This window comes from Homo sapiens, chromosome 2, assembly GCF_000001405.40.
Source record: "Homo sapiens chromosome 2, GRCh38.p14 Primary Assembly".
Lineage (NCBI taxonomy): Eukaryota > Metazoa > Chordata > Mammalia > Primates > Hominidae > Homo > Homo sapiens.
In genome coordinates, this window is record NC_000002.12 from 203,187,133 (window position 1) to 203,200,143 (window position 13,011).

At 38.0% G+C, this 13,011-nt stretch overlaps 1 protein-coding gene and 1 pseudogene across 12 annotated transcripts in view; both read left to right on the plus strand.

Moving 5' to 3' along the window:
• NBEAL1 (neurobeachin like 1) overlaps positions 1-13,011 on the plus strand; it is a 210,587-nt gene that overhangs the window by 172,525 nt on the left and 25,051 nt on the right. For 11 of the 12 annotated variants that reach the window (XM_011511658.4, XM_047445554.1, NM_001378026.1 and 8 more), the window contains 5 exons: positions 1,340-1,457; positions 3,160-3,257; positions 6,663-6,779; positions 10,170-10,259; positions 12,206-12,315. In XM_011511658.4, coding sequence (XP_011509960.1) covers positions 1,340-1,457; positions 3,160-3,257; positions 6,663-6,779; positions 10,170-10,259; positions 12,206-12,315 — 533 coding nt within the window. Of the gene's footprint in view, positions 1-1,339; positions 1,458-3,159; positions 3,258-3,514; positions 3,930-6,662; positions 6,780-10,169; positions 10,260-12,205; positions 12,316-13,011 lie in introns of those variants that run through there. The other variant, XM_011511663.4, reaches the window with a different exon arrangement.
• RPL12P16 (ribosomal protein L12 pseudogene 16) lies at positions 3,560-4,187 on the plus strand (annotated as a pseudogene).

The following is a 13,011-nucleotide window of genomic DNA, read 5'->3' on the forward strand; positions in this document are numbered from 1 at the left end:
CAACTCACTGCAGCCGTGTCCTCCTGGGCTCAGGTGATCCTCCCACCTCAGCCTCCTGAGTAGCTGGGACTGTAGGTGCAATACCACCATTCCCAGCTAATTTTTTGTAGAGAGTGGGTTTCGCCATGTTGCCCAGGCTGGTCTTGAATTCCTGGGCTCAAGCGATCCACCTGCTTTGGCCTCCCAAAGTGCTGGGGTAACAGACATGAGCCACCATGCCTGGCTCTTGCAATGGTTTTTTTTTTTTTTTTTTTTTGAATCCAGCAATATCTGGCTTTTTTATATTTTCTTTAAATTGTGCTTACAAATCAAATAGTTCACTTTTGGCTGGGTGCAGTGGCCCACACCTGTAATCCCAGCACTTTGGGAGGCCAAGGCGGGTGGATCACCTGAGGTCAGGAGTTCAAGACCAGCCTGGCCAACATGGTAAAACCCCATCGCTACTAAAAATACAAAAAATTAGCTGGGCGTGGTGGCAGGCGCCTGTAATCCCAGCTACTTGGGAGGCTGAGGCAGGAGAATCTCTTGAACCCATGGGAGGTGGAGGTTACAGTGAGCCAAGATCGTGCCACTGCACTCCAACCTCAGCGACAGAGCGAGAGACTTCGTCCCAAAAAAAAAAAAATCAAATAGTTCACTTTTTAACCGATCTTACTGCTCTCACACTTTATCATAGGCATCTGAAAGAAGCCAAATGGCACTTTAAAATGTACTGTTTGGAAGTCTGTACACCCAAATTCATGAGTTCATTCTTTCTTTCCTGTAACTGAAACATGAGTCCCATTTTTTCCTGTCTCTAATAACAATTTCCTCACTGTCTTTCAAATTATCACTAGTAATTTACAGGAGGTCTCTACCTGCCACCCTGGCCTCCTCTTAGTAAGTGGTTATTGTGAGGGAGAGAATGATTTGCAGCCATTTTTTCCACCTAAGTGTGGTTTCATTGTTTCCTTAAATTGATATTTTTTTTTCTTGAATTGAATTTCTAGACAACTATTTCAATGGAAATTTTGCCACAGAGATGCATTCCATATCTATCTTTTAGCTCTTTTGCTGTTGTTTTTGGGCTGTTATAAGCATATTTGTGTTTTATTCACCTATTAGGAAATGCATATGTTAATATTAATAAATATATCTACATTATAGTAGACAGGAATAGTTAATATATGTAGTATATATTGAATAAATGCTTGCCATTATTTTGAGATAATTTTATTTTGCTGCCAGAAAGATTTGTGTGTGGAAATGTTTCATTTGTCCTTACTTTTTTAAAGAACTGAATTTACAATGTAGTTGGAAGATATCTCTATATTAATTATTAAATTTATTCTTTTTCTAGGAGTCTGAATATGTTTCAGCTCATCTTCATGAATGGATAGATCTGATCTTTGGCTATAAACAGAGGGGACCAGCTGCAGTAGAGGCACTCAACGTTTTCTATTATTGTAGTTATGAAGGTATAAATCTATACACTTTTTCTCTTGCTTTACCTTGATAGAAACTGTTGTTTAATATATGTTTACAGTTATTTGAAGCCTATTTAATATCAGAAAGACTACATTTTAAAAACATCTTTTTACTTGAAAGATTAAGAGACTGCTGCTTTTTTTGTAATAGTAGTTAAGTGTATATATGCCAATCTAATTATAAATGTCACTTATTAACATCATAAAAGTTTTTGATCTCTAACATATTTGTCCTATCCAGTTGAGTCAAACATTAAATATTCAGTATTAAACAGTAGCAGATTTTGAAACAAGGCCTTTGAAGTTACAAATAACAGATTCTTCAAATGATACATATGATGGCATTATTTAGCTCAGAATCAAGAATATCTTCTGATGGCCTTAAAATGATTTTTAAAAAGTAGTTCTTTACTAATCCTTAAGAAGACTAATAGTTCTAAAGATTGTGAATAGTGTGAAGTTATGAGAGACTTTTAGTAAATGAGCATATTTTTGCTATACCGGATCCATTCAGGTAATAGGTTTGTAAGGAGAAAGTATTGCATGGCTGTTAGAAGCTTGGACTTACCTAGTTTAGCCAATTACTAGTCGTGTAACAATCCATATTAGGTGTGGCTGAGTATAATCAGTTAACCAGAATATTACCTTTTGAAACCTTTGTTTCAAGCAATAACTTAAAGCAGTATTTTTGTGTAGTTATTACTCTTATTTGAGTTTGGCTATCATAACCAAAACAATTAGGTGTACTCTGAGTATAATTTGTATTTTTGCAAAAGAAATTTTTATTTATTTATTTTTTTATCTTGTGACTGGGTCTTGCTCTGTCACCCAGGCTAGAGTGCAGTGGCATAATCATAGTTGAGTGCAACCTGGAACTCCTGGGGTCAACCAGCCCCTGCTGCCTCAGCCTCCTGAGTAGCTGGGAACTGCAGGCATACCACCACACCCAGCTAATTTTTAAAATTTTTTAGAGAGATGAAGTCTCACTTTGTTGTCCAGGCTGGTTTCAAACTCCAGGTCTCAAGCAGTCCTCCCGCCTCAGCCTCCCAAAGTGCTGGGATTACAGGCGTGACCCACCACCCCTGGCCCAATAGAAACCTTCATAGAATATCATTTAACTTTCAATTGCTTAAAATATTTTAGCTAATTTTTATATATATTTAATGTTTGATGCGTTGCTGATTTTTTTGAATTACCTTTTCACAATGTTGTAAATTGAAGAATGGAATAATATTTTATTGAAACTATACCAATGAGGTCAGGGTGGTGGCTCACGCCTGTAATCCCAGCACTTTGGGAGGCTGGGGCAGGCAGATCACCTGAGGTCAGAAGTTCAAGACCAGCCTGGCCAACATAGTGAAACCCCGTCTCTACTAAAAGTACAAAAATTATCTGGGCGTGGTGGCACGGACCTGTAGTCCCAGCTACTCAGGAGGCTGAGGGAGGAGAATTGTTTGAACCCAGGAGGTGGAGGTTGCAGTGAGTCGAGATCATACCACTGCACTCCAGCCTGGGCAACAGAGCAAGACTCTGTCTCAAAAAAAAAAAAAAAGATGTGTGTACACACACACACACACACACACACACACACACACACACACACACACACACCAATGAGCCTGATACATTAATCAGTGATGTGGCTTGCTGATTTGTTTTCACTCTATAGTAAGTTGACTTCTTCTGGTTTTAGGAGCTGTGGATCTGGATGCCTTAACAGATGAGAAAGAAAGAAAAGCCTTAGAAGGGATGATTAATAATTTTGGGCAAACACCCTGTCAATTATTAAAGGTAAGTCAACAACTTAAGAAGTAGATTTAAGTCAACTTAAGAAGTAGATTTAAGTACATAACAAAATATTGCAGTCAAGATCCATGTATATAGCCAGTTACTCTCAGTCACAGAAAGATTTCTGTTTGCTCAGAAAGTCTTATATTATTTCCAAGAGGAAAAACTGAGTACCTATTAGGGTATGCCATTAAAACTGTCCTCATGCTGGGACTCATTCCACATGTAAAACTTCTAATAGCTAACATCTGCCCAAAAAGGCACTTGCTTTCCAGAGCCCAAACCCAGTCTTAAGAATCAAATTGCTCTCGGCTTTCGGCTCGGAGGAGGCCAAGGTGCAACTTTCTTCGGTCGTCCCGAATCCGGGTTCATCCAACACCAGCCGCCTCCACCATGCCGCCGAAGTTCGACCCCAACGAGATCAAAGTCGTATACCTGAGGTGCACCGGAGGTGAAGTCGGTGCCACTTCTGCCCTGGCCCCCAAGATCGGCCCCCTGGGTCTGTCTCCAAAAAAGGTTGGTGATGACATTGCCAAGGCAACGGGTGACTGGAAGGGCCTGAGGATTACAGTGAAACTGACCATTCAGAACAGACAGGCCCAGATTGAGGTGGTGCCTTCTGCCTCTGCCCTGATCATCAAAGCCCTCAAGGAACCACCAAGAGACAGAAAGAAACAGAAAAACATTAAACACAGTGGGAATATCACTTTTGATGAGATCGTCAACATTGTTCGACAGATGCGGCACCGATCCTTAGCCAGAGAACTCTCTGGAACCATTAAAGAGATCCTGGGGACTGCCCAGTCTGTGGGCTGTAATGTTGATGGCCGCCATCCTCATGACATCATCGATGACATCAACAGTGGTGCTGTGGAATGCCCAGCCAGTTAAGCACAAAGGAAAATATTTCAATAAAGGATCATTTGACAACTGAAAAAAAAAAAAAAAAGAATCAAATTATAGAATATTTAAAATGTAGAATCAAATTATTAAATATTACTACATATATTTCTTTCCCTATACTGGTATCTGAAATTAAATCATTATCTTCCTGATGACACACAGGTTTAGATTAATGGAAATTAATCTAATGGTAGTTTTCAAAGATGTCTTGATCTTTTTCAGTATATGAATTTAGTGATGTAGAATGTACAAAAAAATATATCATTTATTAACTAGATATGTTCTTAAGCAATCACTGTGTTTGTTAGGTACTTTACCTAATCTTCATAGTAAAAATTCAGCTATCCTCATTTTTTAGGAGTTAAAGCCAAGCCTCACAGAAGGTAATACCTAGCCTATAATGCCTTTGAGAAATTAAATACTTTTTCTATGTTTACACAACAAGAAAGTGACTAGGATTATATGCCTGACCATCTAACTCCAAAGCCTTTCTAGCATGCCATGTTTCCTCTGAATGAGTAGTTGTAAGCCCCCGTTAAACTAGATCTCTTAACATGTTCTTATGGGCCTTTATTTGCTACCTAATTAGGACACTTTCTGCCTTAGGCTATATATTTATCCATTTACCTCAGTACATTATAAATACATTAAAGGCAGCAACTTTCTCTTAATCATCTTTGTATCACTCTTGAATACAGTATTGAATTGAAATCGCCACAGCTATTACAACAGTAGTGTATCTAAGCTCTAACTTATAGATGTACTTCTGTCAATACAGTAATTGGGCTAAGCTTTGTAATTTTTACTGTTCCTTAGCAACAGTTTGCTCGGAACCTCCAACATTGGTTTTTACAGAATAGTCATATGTGAAGTCAATGCTTTATCCCTTACCTTCTGGTACAGTCAGAAGGCGAAAGTAACAGACTAAAACAGAATGCTTCACAGGGCTTTGAAATAGATGCTATCATATTTTCACACCTGCTTTACCTTTCTTTTTGTTTTACAAGTGGTGCTAATTAGTTTTTATTGTGATGAAAATGATACAAAAATCAGCCTTTGATTTGAAATAAAGTGAATAATATTTATTAAAAGATAATTTTTTTTTTTTTTTTGAGAGGGAGTTTTGCCCTTGTTGCCCAGTCTGGAGTACAATGGCACAATCTCGGGTTACTCCAACCTCTGCCTCCTGGGTTCAAGCGATTCTCCTGCCTCAGCCTCCCAAGTAGCTGGGATTACAGAGGCCCGCCACCACACCTGGCTAATTTTTTGTATTTTTAGTAGAGACGGGGTTTTGCCATGTTGGGCAGGCTGGTCTTGAACTCCTGACCTCAGGTGATCTGCCTGCCTCAGCCTCCCAAAATGCTGGGATTACAGGTGTGAGCCACCGCACCCGATCTAAAAGCTAAATATTTTAGTACTTACAGCTTTCACATCTATTGCCTATAATCAATATTTTTTTGTAGAGATGTAAGAATTTACTTTAGATAGAATTCTGTTTTGCCTTTTAACTGTGCCTTTGAAATGTTCATTTTACTTGCCATTTATTTCATATTTATAGATGATACTGTTCTGTGTTTCTGACATGAAAGTTGAGGAAGAACAAAATTTACTTGAAAAGTATGCAGCAGTACCTATAATTTGATTCTGACAGTATTGACTTTTTTTCTTTCTTTCTTTTTTTTTTTTTTTTTTTTTTTTTTGAGATGGAGTCTTACTCTGTCACCCAGGCTGGAGTGCAGTGGCACGATCTTGGCTCACTGCAACTTCCATCTTGTGGGTTCAAGCGATTCTCCTACCTCAGCCTCTCAAGTAGCTGGGACTATAGGTGCACACCACTACGCCTGACCAATTTTTGTATTTTTAGTAGATACAGGGTTTCACCATGTTAGCCAGTATGGTCTTGAACTTCTGACCTCAAGTGATCCGCCCACCTCAGCCTCCCGAAGTGCTAGGATTTCAGGTGTGAGCCAGCACGCCCAGCCAGTGTTGACATTTTGATCTTGTCAAGGAATTAAAGATTCATCCAAATTATACATTCTGAATTTTGAATACTACATTTAATTTTACCAAGCATCTAACGTGTAAGATACTAGTCTAGTATGGAAATCCAAAAATGAATAAGGCTTCTCTAGCTTTAAGGCACTTATAACCTAGCTGGGGAAGACAGACCATAAACAACTATATGTAATCCAATATAGAAAGAAATAAATTATAATTAAAATATAAATTATTTGCCAAGGAAAAATAATAAAAGAGAATAATACATTCTGACTTGAAAATTTAGGAGAGATATCAGTAAGAAAAACTTTAAAGTAGAAGTGGGGTTTCCAAAGAAATGAAAAAAGTAGTATCTCTGCTAAGAGAATAGTCTGAGCCAACACCTATAATTGTCAACAATGCATGGTATGTAATTCATTGTAGCTAGAGCCTAGTGTATATGAAGGAACATAGTGAGAGATTAATAACATAGATATGGAATTGTTTTTCCTTAAAATTATTTTGAAGGAACCACACCCTCCAAGATTATCAGCAGAAGAAGCAGTGCAGAAGCCAACCAAAATAGACACTTCAACCCTAAACCTGTTTCAACACCTTCCTGAACTCAAGTCATTTTTTATAGAGGTAATATCCTACTTGGTAATATCAAAAAGAGTTTTCTCTAAATTCTGTACATTTTAAAGTTCTTTTATTATTTAATGGGAAGTAAGGATTATAATATTTAATTCAAGATAGTAAATTATACTGTAATAATCTGTTGTTGGATTTTTAAAACATTTTTATTGGAAGCTTTTGTTTGCTGCTGAGTGGTAGTCTGAACTGTTTTTCTTGGCTTTCTTTCATCTACTTCACATTTTCCTGACGAAGAAGAATAAATAATTTGACTTAAAATGCTTCTTGTGACAATCGAGATGATATGTAGATGGAGATAATAATTTAATAGCTCTTAATTATAATGTCTGCTCATATATAAAATAGATCCTAATAAGTCCATTGTTAATTGATAGAATGAGTAGTCTAGTAAAACAGGAGTAGTTAATGGTGTAATTGAAAGAGTTTAAATAAAAAATTCAAATGTTTAAATATACATATTAAATTGAGTAATTCAGAATGTGATTATAAAATGCATTCATACCTATGAATGTGGTTAGGACAGATAGCATTAACCCTTCACAAAAAGAAAATTGAAAATAAAAAGTTACTAAGATTAGTTTGAAAATATACATTGAACAGTCTCTGCAATACAGCAGAGGTTGGTAAACTCTTTCTTGTCTCAAATAATAACTTATTTGAAAAGTATGCAGCAGTGAGATAGGTCTAACTGGTAAATATTTTGTGCTTTGCAGGCCAAAAGGCAAACTCAAAGATATTCTGTAGATACATATATAACCACTTAAAATGTAATCATCTAAAAATATAAAACCCATCCTTAGCTCACCCACCGCCTACAAAACAGGTGGTGGGCTGGCTTTGTCCCACAGGCTGTAGTTTGTAAAACCCTGCATTGCAATATCACTGCAGCGTGTTTCTCAGATTCAATACCATGGGAAAATGAATTATCAAAAAATATAATTTTTTGATAATGTAGTGTAAAAAATGTTTATGAGTTTTATAACAGTTAAAGCTTTGGCCGGGCGCAGTGGCTCACGCCTGTAATCCCAGCACTTTGGGAGGCCGAGACCGGCAGATCACGAGGTCAGGAGATTGAGACCATCCTGGCTAACATGGTGAAACCCCGTCTCTACTAAAAAATATAAAAAATTAGCAGGGCATGGTGGTGGACGCCTGTAGTCCCAGCTACTCGGAAGGCTGAGGCAGGAGAATGGCATCCAGGAGGCAGAGCTTGCAGTGAGCCGAGATCACGCCACTGCACTCAGAGCGAGACTCCATCTCAAAAAAAAAAAAACAGTTAAAGCTTTATAATACATTTTACTCAAATGAACAATATTGTAGTAAGCATCACTGTATTTTTTAATTGATGTAATAATTAAACAGTTTTATGGGGTACACCACTGTATTTTGGTACATGCTTTCACGTGTTTGTGAAAGCACTTCAAAATTAATCTGTCACTCTTTTCCTAAATCCATGTTTACTGAAATAGTTATTTAGTGTTGCAATACAAACTCTACAAACTTGGTTGTTTCCAAAAGTATCTAAGTTAGTTGCATAGAACTCAGAACACAAAAAAACAATGCTCAGAAATTATGACTAATTCCCAGGATGTGTTGGGAGTCTCCAAGACTACCCCCAGGTTCAGTGATTTGCCAGAAAGACTCACGGAATTTAACATGTAGTTGTAGTCATGGCTAAGATTTATTACAGTGAAAGGATACAAAGCAACATCAGCAAAGGGAAAAGGCACATGGTGTGCAGTCCAGGGGAAGCCAGGCACAAGTGTCCAAGAGACCTCTCCTAGTGGAGTCACATAAGATCTACTTAATTCTTTCAGTAATGAAATGTGGAAACACATTTTTTTGTCGTCAGAGAAGCTCATTAGAGACCCAGTGCCCAAGGTTTTTATTGGAGGCTGGTCGCGTACACACCCCTCTGACTAGCACATACCAAAATTCCAAACTCCAGAAGAAAAACAAGTGTTTAGCATAAACCATACTATTTGCACAAACACTCTAGGTGTAGTGAGCCACCCTTGTCATTGAGGGAAAGTTTTATGTCAGTGTAAGGATGAACTGTTCGCCAGCCAAGTCCCAGATGCCAACCAAAGGCCAGTCTTGCAAGTAGGCCTTTCTGTAACAATGATGGCAGTCTCAGGCCTGCTATGTTAACTCTTTACTGCATGTAAAACAACACAAGACCCTATTTGACCCATAATCTGATGGACATGCAATACTATATTTCTTCTATAATGCCAATAGAACTATTTTCATCTTATCTAATCATTTGTGACTTTTCTTGTAATATAGTACATTCCAAGTTCCATCTGCAGGTGCAGCAACACATCTGCCCTTCTCTGTACCTACCATGTCACATAGTAGCTTTCTCCAGGACACATTCAGTATCTGGATCAGTATAAAGAACACAATAGATTTCCTTGGGTACCAATAACTTGTTAATCCCTTTTCATCCTCGTAAGAGGTATTTCCCCATGTATTAATATGAAAAGAGAAGGCCTTTTGTAGGTCATCTCTTCATAGGTGTTCAAATTGTGAAGAAAGTAGAGATAGTAGTGAAAGCAAGGGCTTAATAAATGGGTTTTTTTCAGGTACCATTTTCATTTTGCCTTGTTCAAATGCAAGTCATTCTTCTCTGGATTAATTCACAACGTAAAGAGAAAAGATAATCACCAACTTTTTAAAATTTTATAAATTATAATGAATTTTATAATTTGTTACTTAGTCCCTATTAAGTTCTTAGAACAACACCTGATACATAGTACATACCCAATAATGTTATCATTTACCTAGTAAATATTAGGTATCACTTGTGAACAACTGTCACATCAGGGAACTGAATTCAAATTATTGTTCTCTTTCACATTGTTATAAGATAATGGCAGATGTTTTCTGAACGCTGTCTTTATTTTCTGGTCCTACTGTGGCTTTCAGGAAGTACCCTAGTTAATGGGTTAGAAGTGTTTTTTAAAAGTTAGACCCAAAAGGAAATTTCTATAAATTATGACCAATTTTCTCATTTGACTTATTTGAGAAACATGTTCTTATATGATCCGTATTTTCTACTTTATATGTATGTCAGTATAACTTAGGATAGATCCTAAATCATTGGCTGTTTTAAATTATTGCTGCTCTTTGAAATCTACATCTCTTTTTTAAAAGCAGAATAGTTGAATAGAAGGTGATGGGTTTCAGAAATTTCAAGTATGCCATATATACATGGTATATAATTCCTTTCCTTCATTTTAAATTAATTGATTAGATGTTTCAAGAGAGTAAAATGATGTATCACAGGATTCATCCTTATTTAAAGAGACGGTTTTCAGTAATTTGTACCTAATAAAGATGAGCAGAACCAGCCACTAAACCTCTTTTATTTTATAGGGGATTAGTGATGGTATTCCACTATTAAAGGCCACCATCCCCAAAAATCAGTATCGTTCTTTTATGTCTCAAGGCAGCCCTGAGTTACTGGTAAGTTGATTTTTACCTTTTTCACACTGCTATGCCTATATTCATTACAACTTAGAAAAAAAGAGGAAATAAATATTTTTTAAAAGCCACTTTTTGGCTGTGCATGGTGGTTCATGCCTGTAATCCCAGCGCTTTGGGAGGTTGAGACAAGCAGATTGCTTGAGCCCAGGAGTTCAAGACTAGCCTGGGCAACATTTGCTCAGAAAATAAAATCTGAAAAGATATATAAAAATAGGCTGGGCACAGTGGCCCACGTCCGTAATCCCAGCACTTTGGGAGGCCAAGGCAGGTGGATCACTTGAGGTCAGAAGTTCAAGACCAGCTTGGGCAACATGGTGAAACCCTGTCTCTACTAAAAATACAAAAAATTAGAAAGGCGTGGAGGCAGGTGCCTGTAATTCCAGCTACTTGGGAGGCTGAGGCAGGAGAATCACTTGAATCCAGGAGGTGGAGGTTGCAGTGAGCCAAGATCGCGCCACTGCACTCCAGCCTGGGTGACAAGAGCGAGACTCCTTCTAAATAAAAATAAATAAATAAATAAAAAGATACACAAAAATAGTAGTAGTACTTTTTGAGCAGTGGCAATCTTGTGAATTTCAATCCTTATATATATATTTTTTTTTCTTTTCTTTTTTTTTTTTTTTTTGAGACAGAGTCTCACTCTGTCACCCAGGCTGGAGAGCCAATCACAGCTCACTGCAGCCTTGACCTCCTGGGCTCAGGTGACCCTTCCACCTCGGCCTCCTGAGTAGCTGGGACTACAGATACACACCACCATGGCCAGCTAATTTTTGTATTTTTTGTAGAGATCAGGTTTTGCCATGTTGCCCAGGTTGGTCTCAAACTCCTGAGCTCAAGTGATCCTCCCACCTGAGCCTCACAAAGTGCCTGCGTTTTTTAAAGTTACCAGAATTTCGTTTGTCGGGGGTTGCTTGTTAACTTTTATAATCAAGAAGATAAAAGCTTTTCATTTTGAAGAGAGGAGAACTTACTATGACTGTCACTACAGGCAGACCTTAACAGTTCATTGCATTCATTGTAAATTATCCTTCTGGTTTATGTTCTAAATGATATATATTATATTTTTATGGTAAGACTGGTCCCTGAATTTCTTCCATCTGCCAGCTGATAAGTGCTAATAAACTTTGAGAAATCATGAGAAAAAATAATCTTCCTAAAGAAAGATAAATTGGGCTGAGCGCAGTGGCTCACACCTGTAATCCCAGAACTTGGGAGGCTGTGGGTGGATTTCTTGAGCTTAGGAGTTCGAGACCAGCCTGGGCAACATGGCAAAACCCCATCTCCACTAAAAATACAAAAAATTAGCCAGGCATGGTGGTGCATGCTTGTGGTCCCAGCTACTCAAGAGGCTGAGGTCAGAGGATTGCTTGCGCCCGGGAGGTTGTAGTGAGCTGAGATCATGCCACTGCACTCCAGCCTGGGTGACAGAGCAAGACTCTATCTCAAAAAAAAAAAAAAAAATTGGACAAGTTTTCTTACAATAAGATAAACAAGGCCAGGTGTGGTGACTCACGCCTGTCATCCTAATGCTTTGGGAGGCCGAGGTGGGAGGCTCACTTAAGCCCGGGAGTTGGAGACTAGCTTGGGCAACATGGTGAAACCATGTCTCTACAAAAAATACAAAGAATACAAAAATTAGCCAGGCATGGTGGCGCATGCCTGAAGGTTGCAATGAGCTGAGATCATGTCACTGTGCTCCAGCCTGGGCAACAGAGTGAAACCCTGGCTCCAAAAATAAAAGATAAAAAAAGAGCTTTTTCTGTTTGAGTTATCTTAAGATGTGCTTAATGAGTTTCAGGTTTGAAGTACACAGTCTCACAGTGTTCCCTAAGTGATAAATGCCAATGTCATGTGAGCATCTGGTTATTCTGGGCTGCTTTCCTTAATATTTCATTTAATTTGAGTCTTCATATGTTCTTTTCCAGATAACAATAAGCATGAATTATGTTATTGGAACCCATGGATGGTTGCCTTATGACAGAAACATTTCTAATTACTTTACATTCATCAAGGATCAAACTGTGACAAATCCAAAGTAAGTAAATGAATATGTAAAGCAAAATAGCTATACCAGATACCTTATTGCCAGGAAAAAAACTAGATTAATTGATTCATTTATTCTGAAAGAAATATTTTTTTTTTTTTTTTTTGAGACAGAGTCTTGCTCTGCGGTGCAGTGGCGCAATCCCCACTCACTGAAACCTCTGCCTCCCGAGCTCAAGGGATTATCTGGCTAATTTTTGTTGTTAGTAGAAATTGAGTTTCACCATGTTGGCCAGGCTGGTCTCAAACCCTTGACCTCAAGTGATCCGCCCACCTCAGCCTCCCCAAGTGCTGGGATTATAGGCCGCCTGGCCCTGAAAGTAATGTTTTGAGATCCAGATTATCTCTTCTTCCCTCCTTCCTCCCTCCATTCCCTCCCCAACCTTCCCTTATTTTTAAGTTATGTCCTGAATTTATATTGGTTTAAATACAAAACTTAGTTTCCATAATATGAGTTATAGAAATACAATTACATTAGGAATAATAGACTTCCTTGTAATTTTATTCTACTTTATTATGTAAAAATAAGACCTATGTATTTTAATCTCCAAAAGTTATGTTCTCACTTAAAGTGGTGTTTCCCTTACACTGAATTGTCCTGTTTGTTTGCTTATATTTTTTTCTAGTTAAATCACATTCATGGCTGGGCACAATGGCTCACGCCTGTAATCCCAAAACTTGGGAAGCT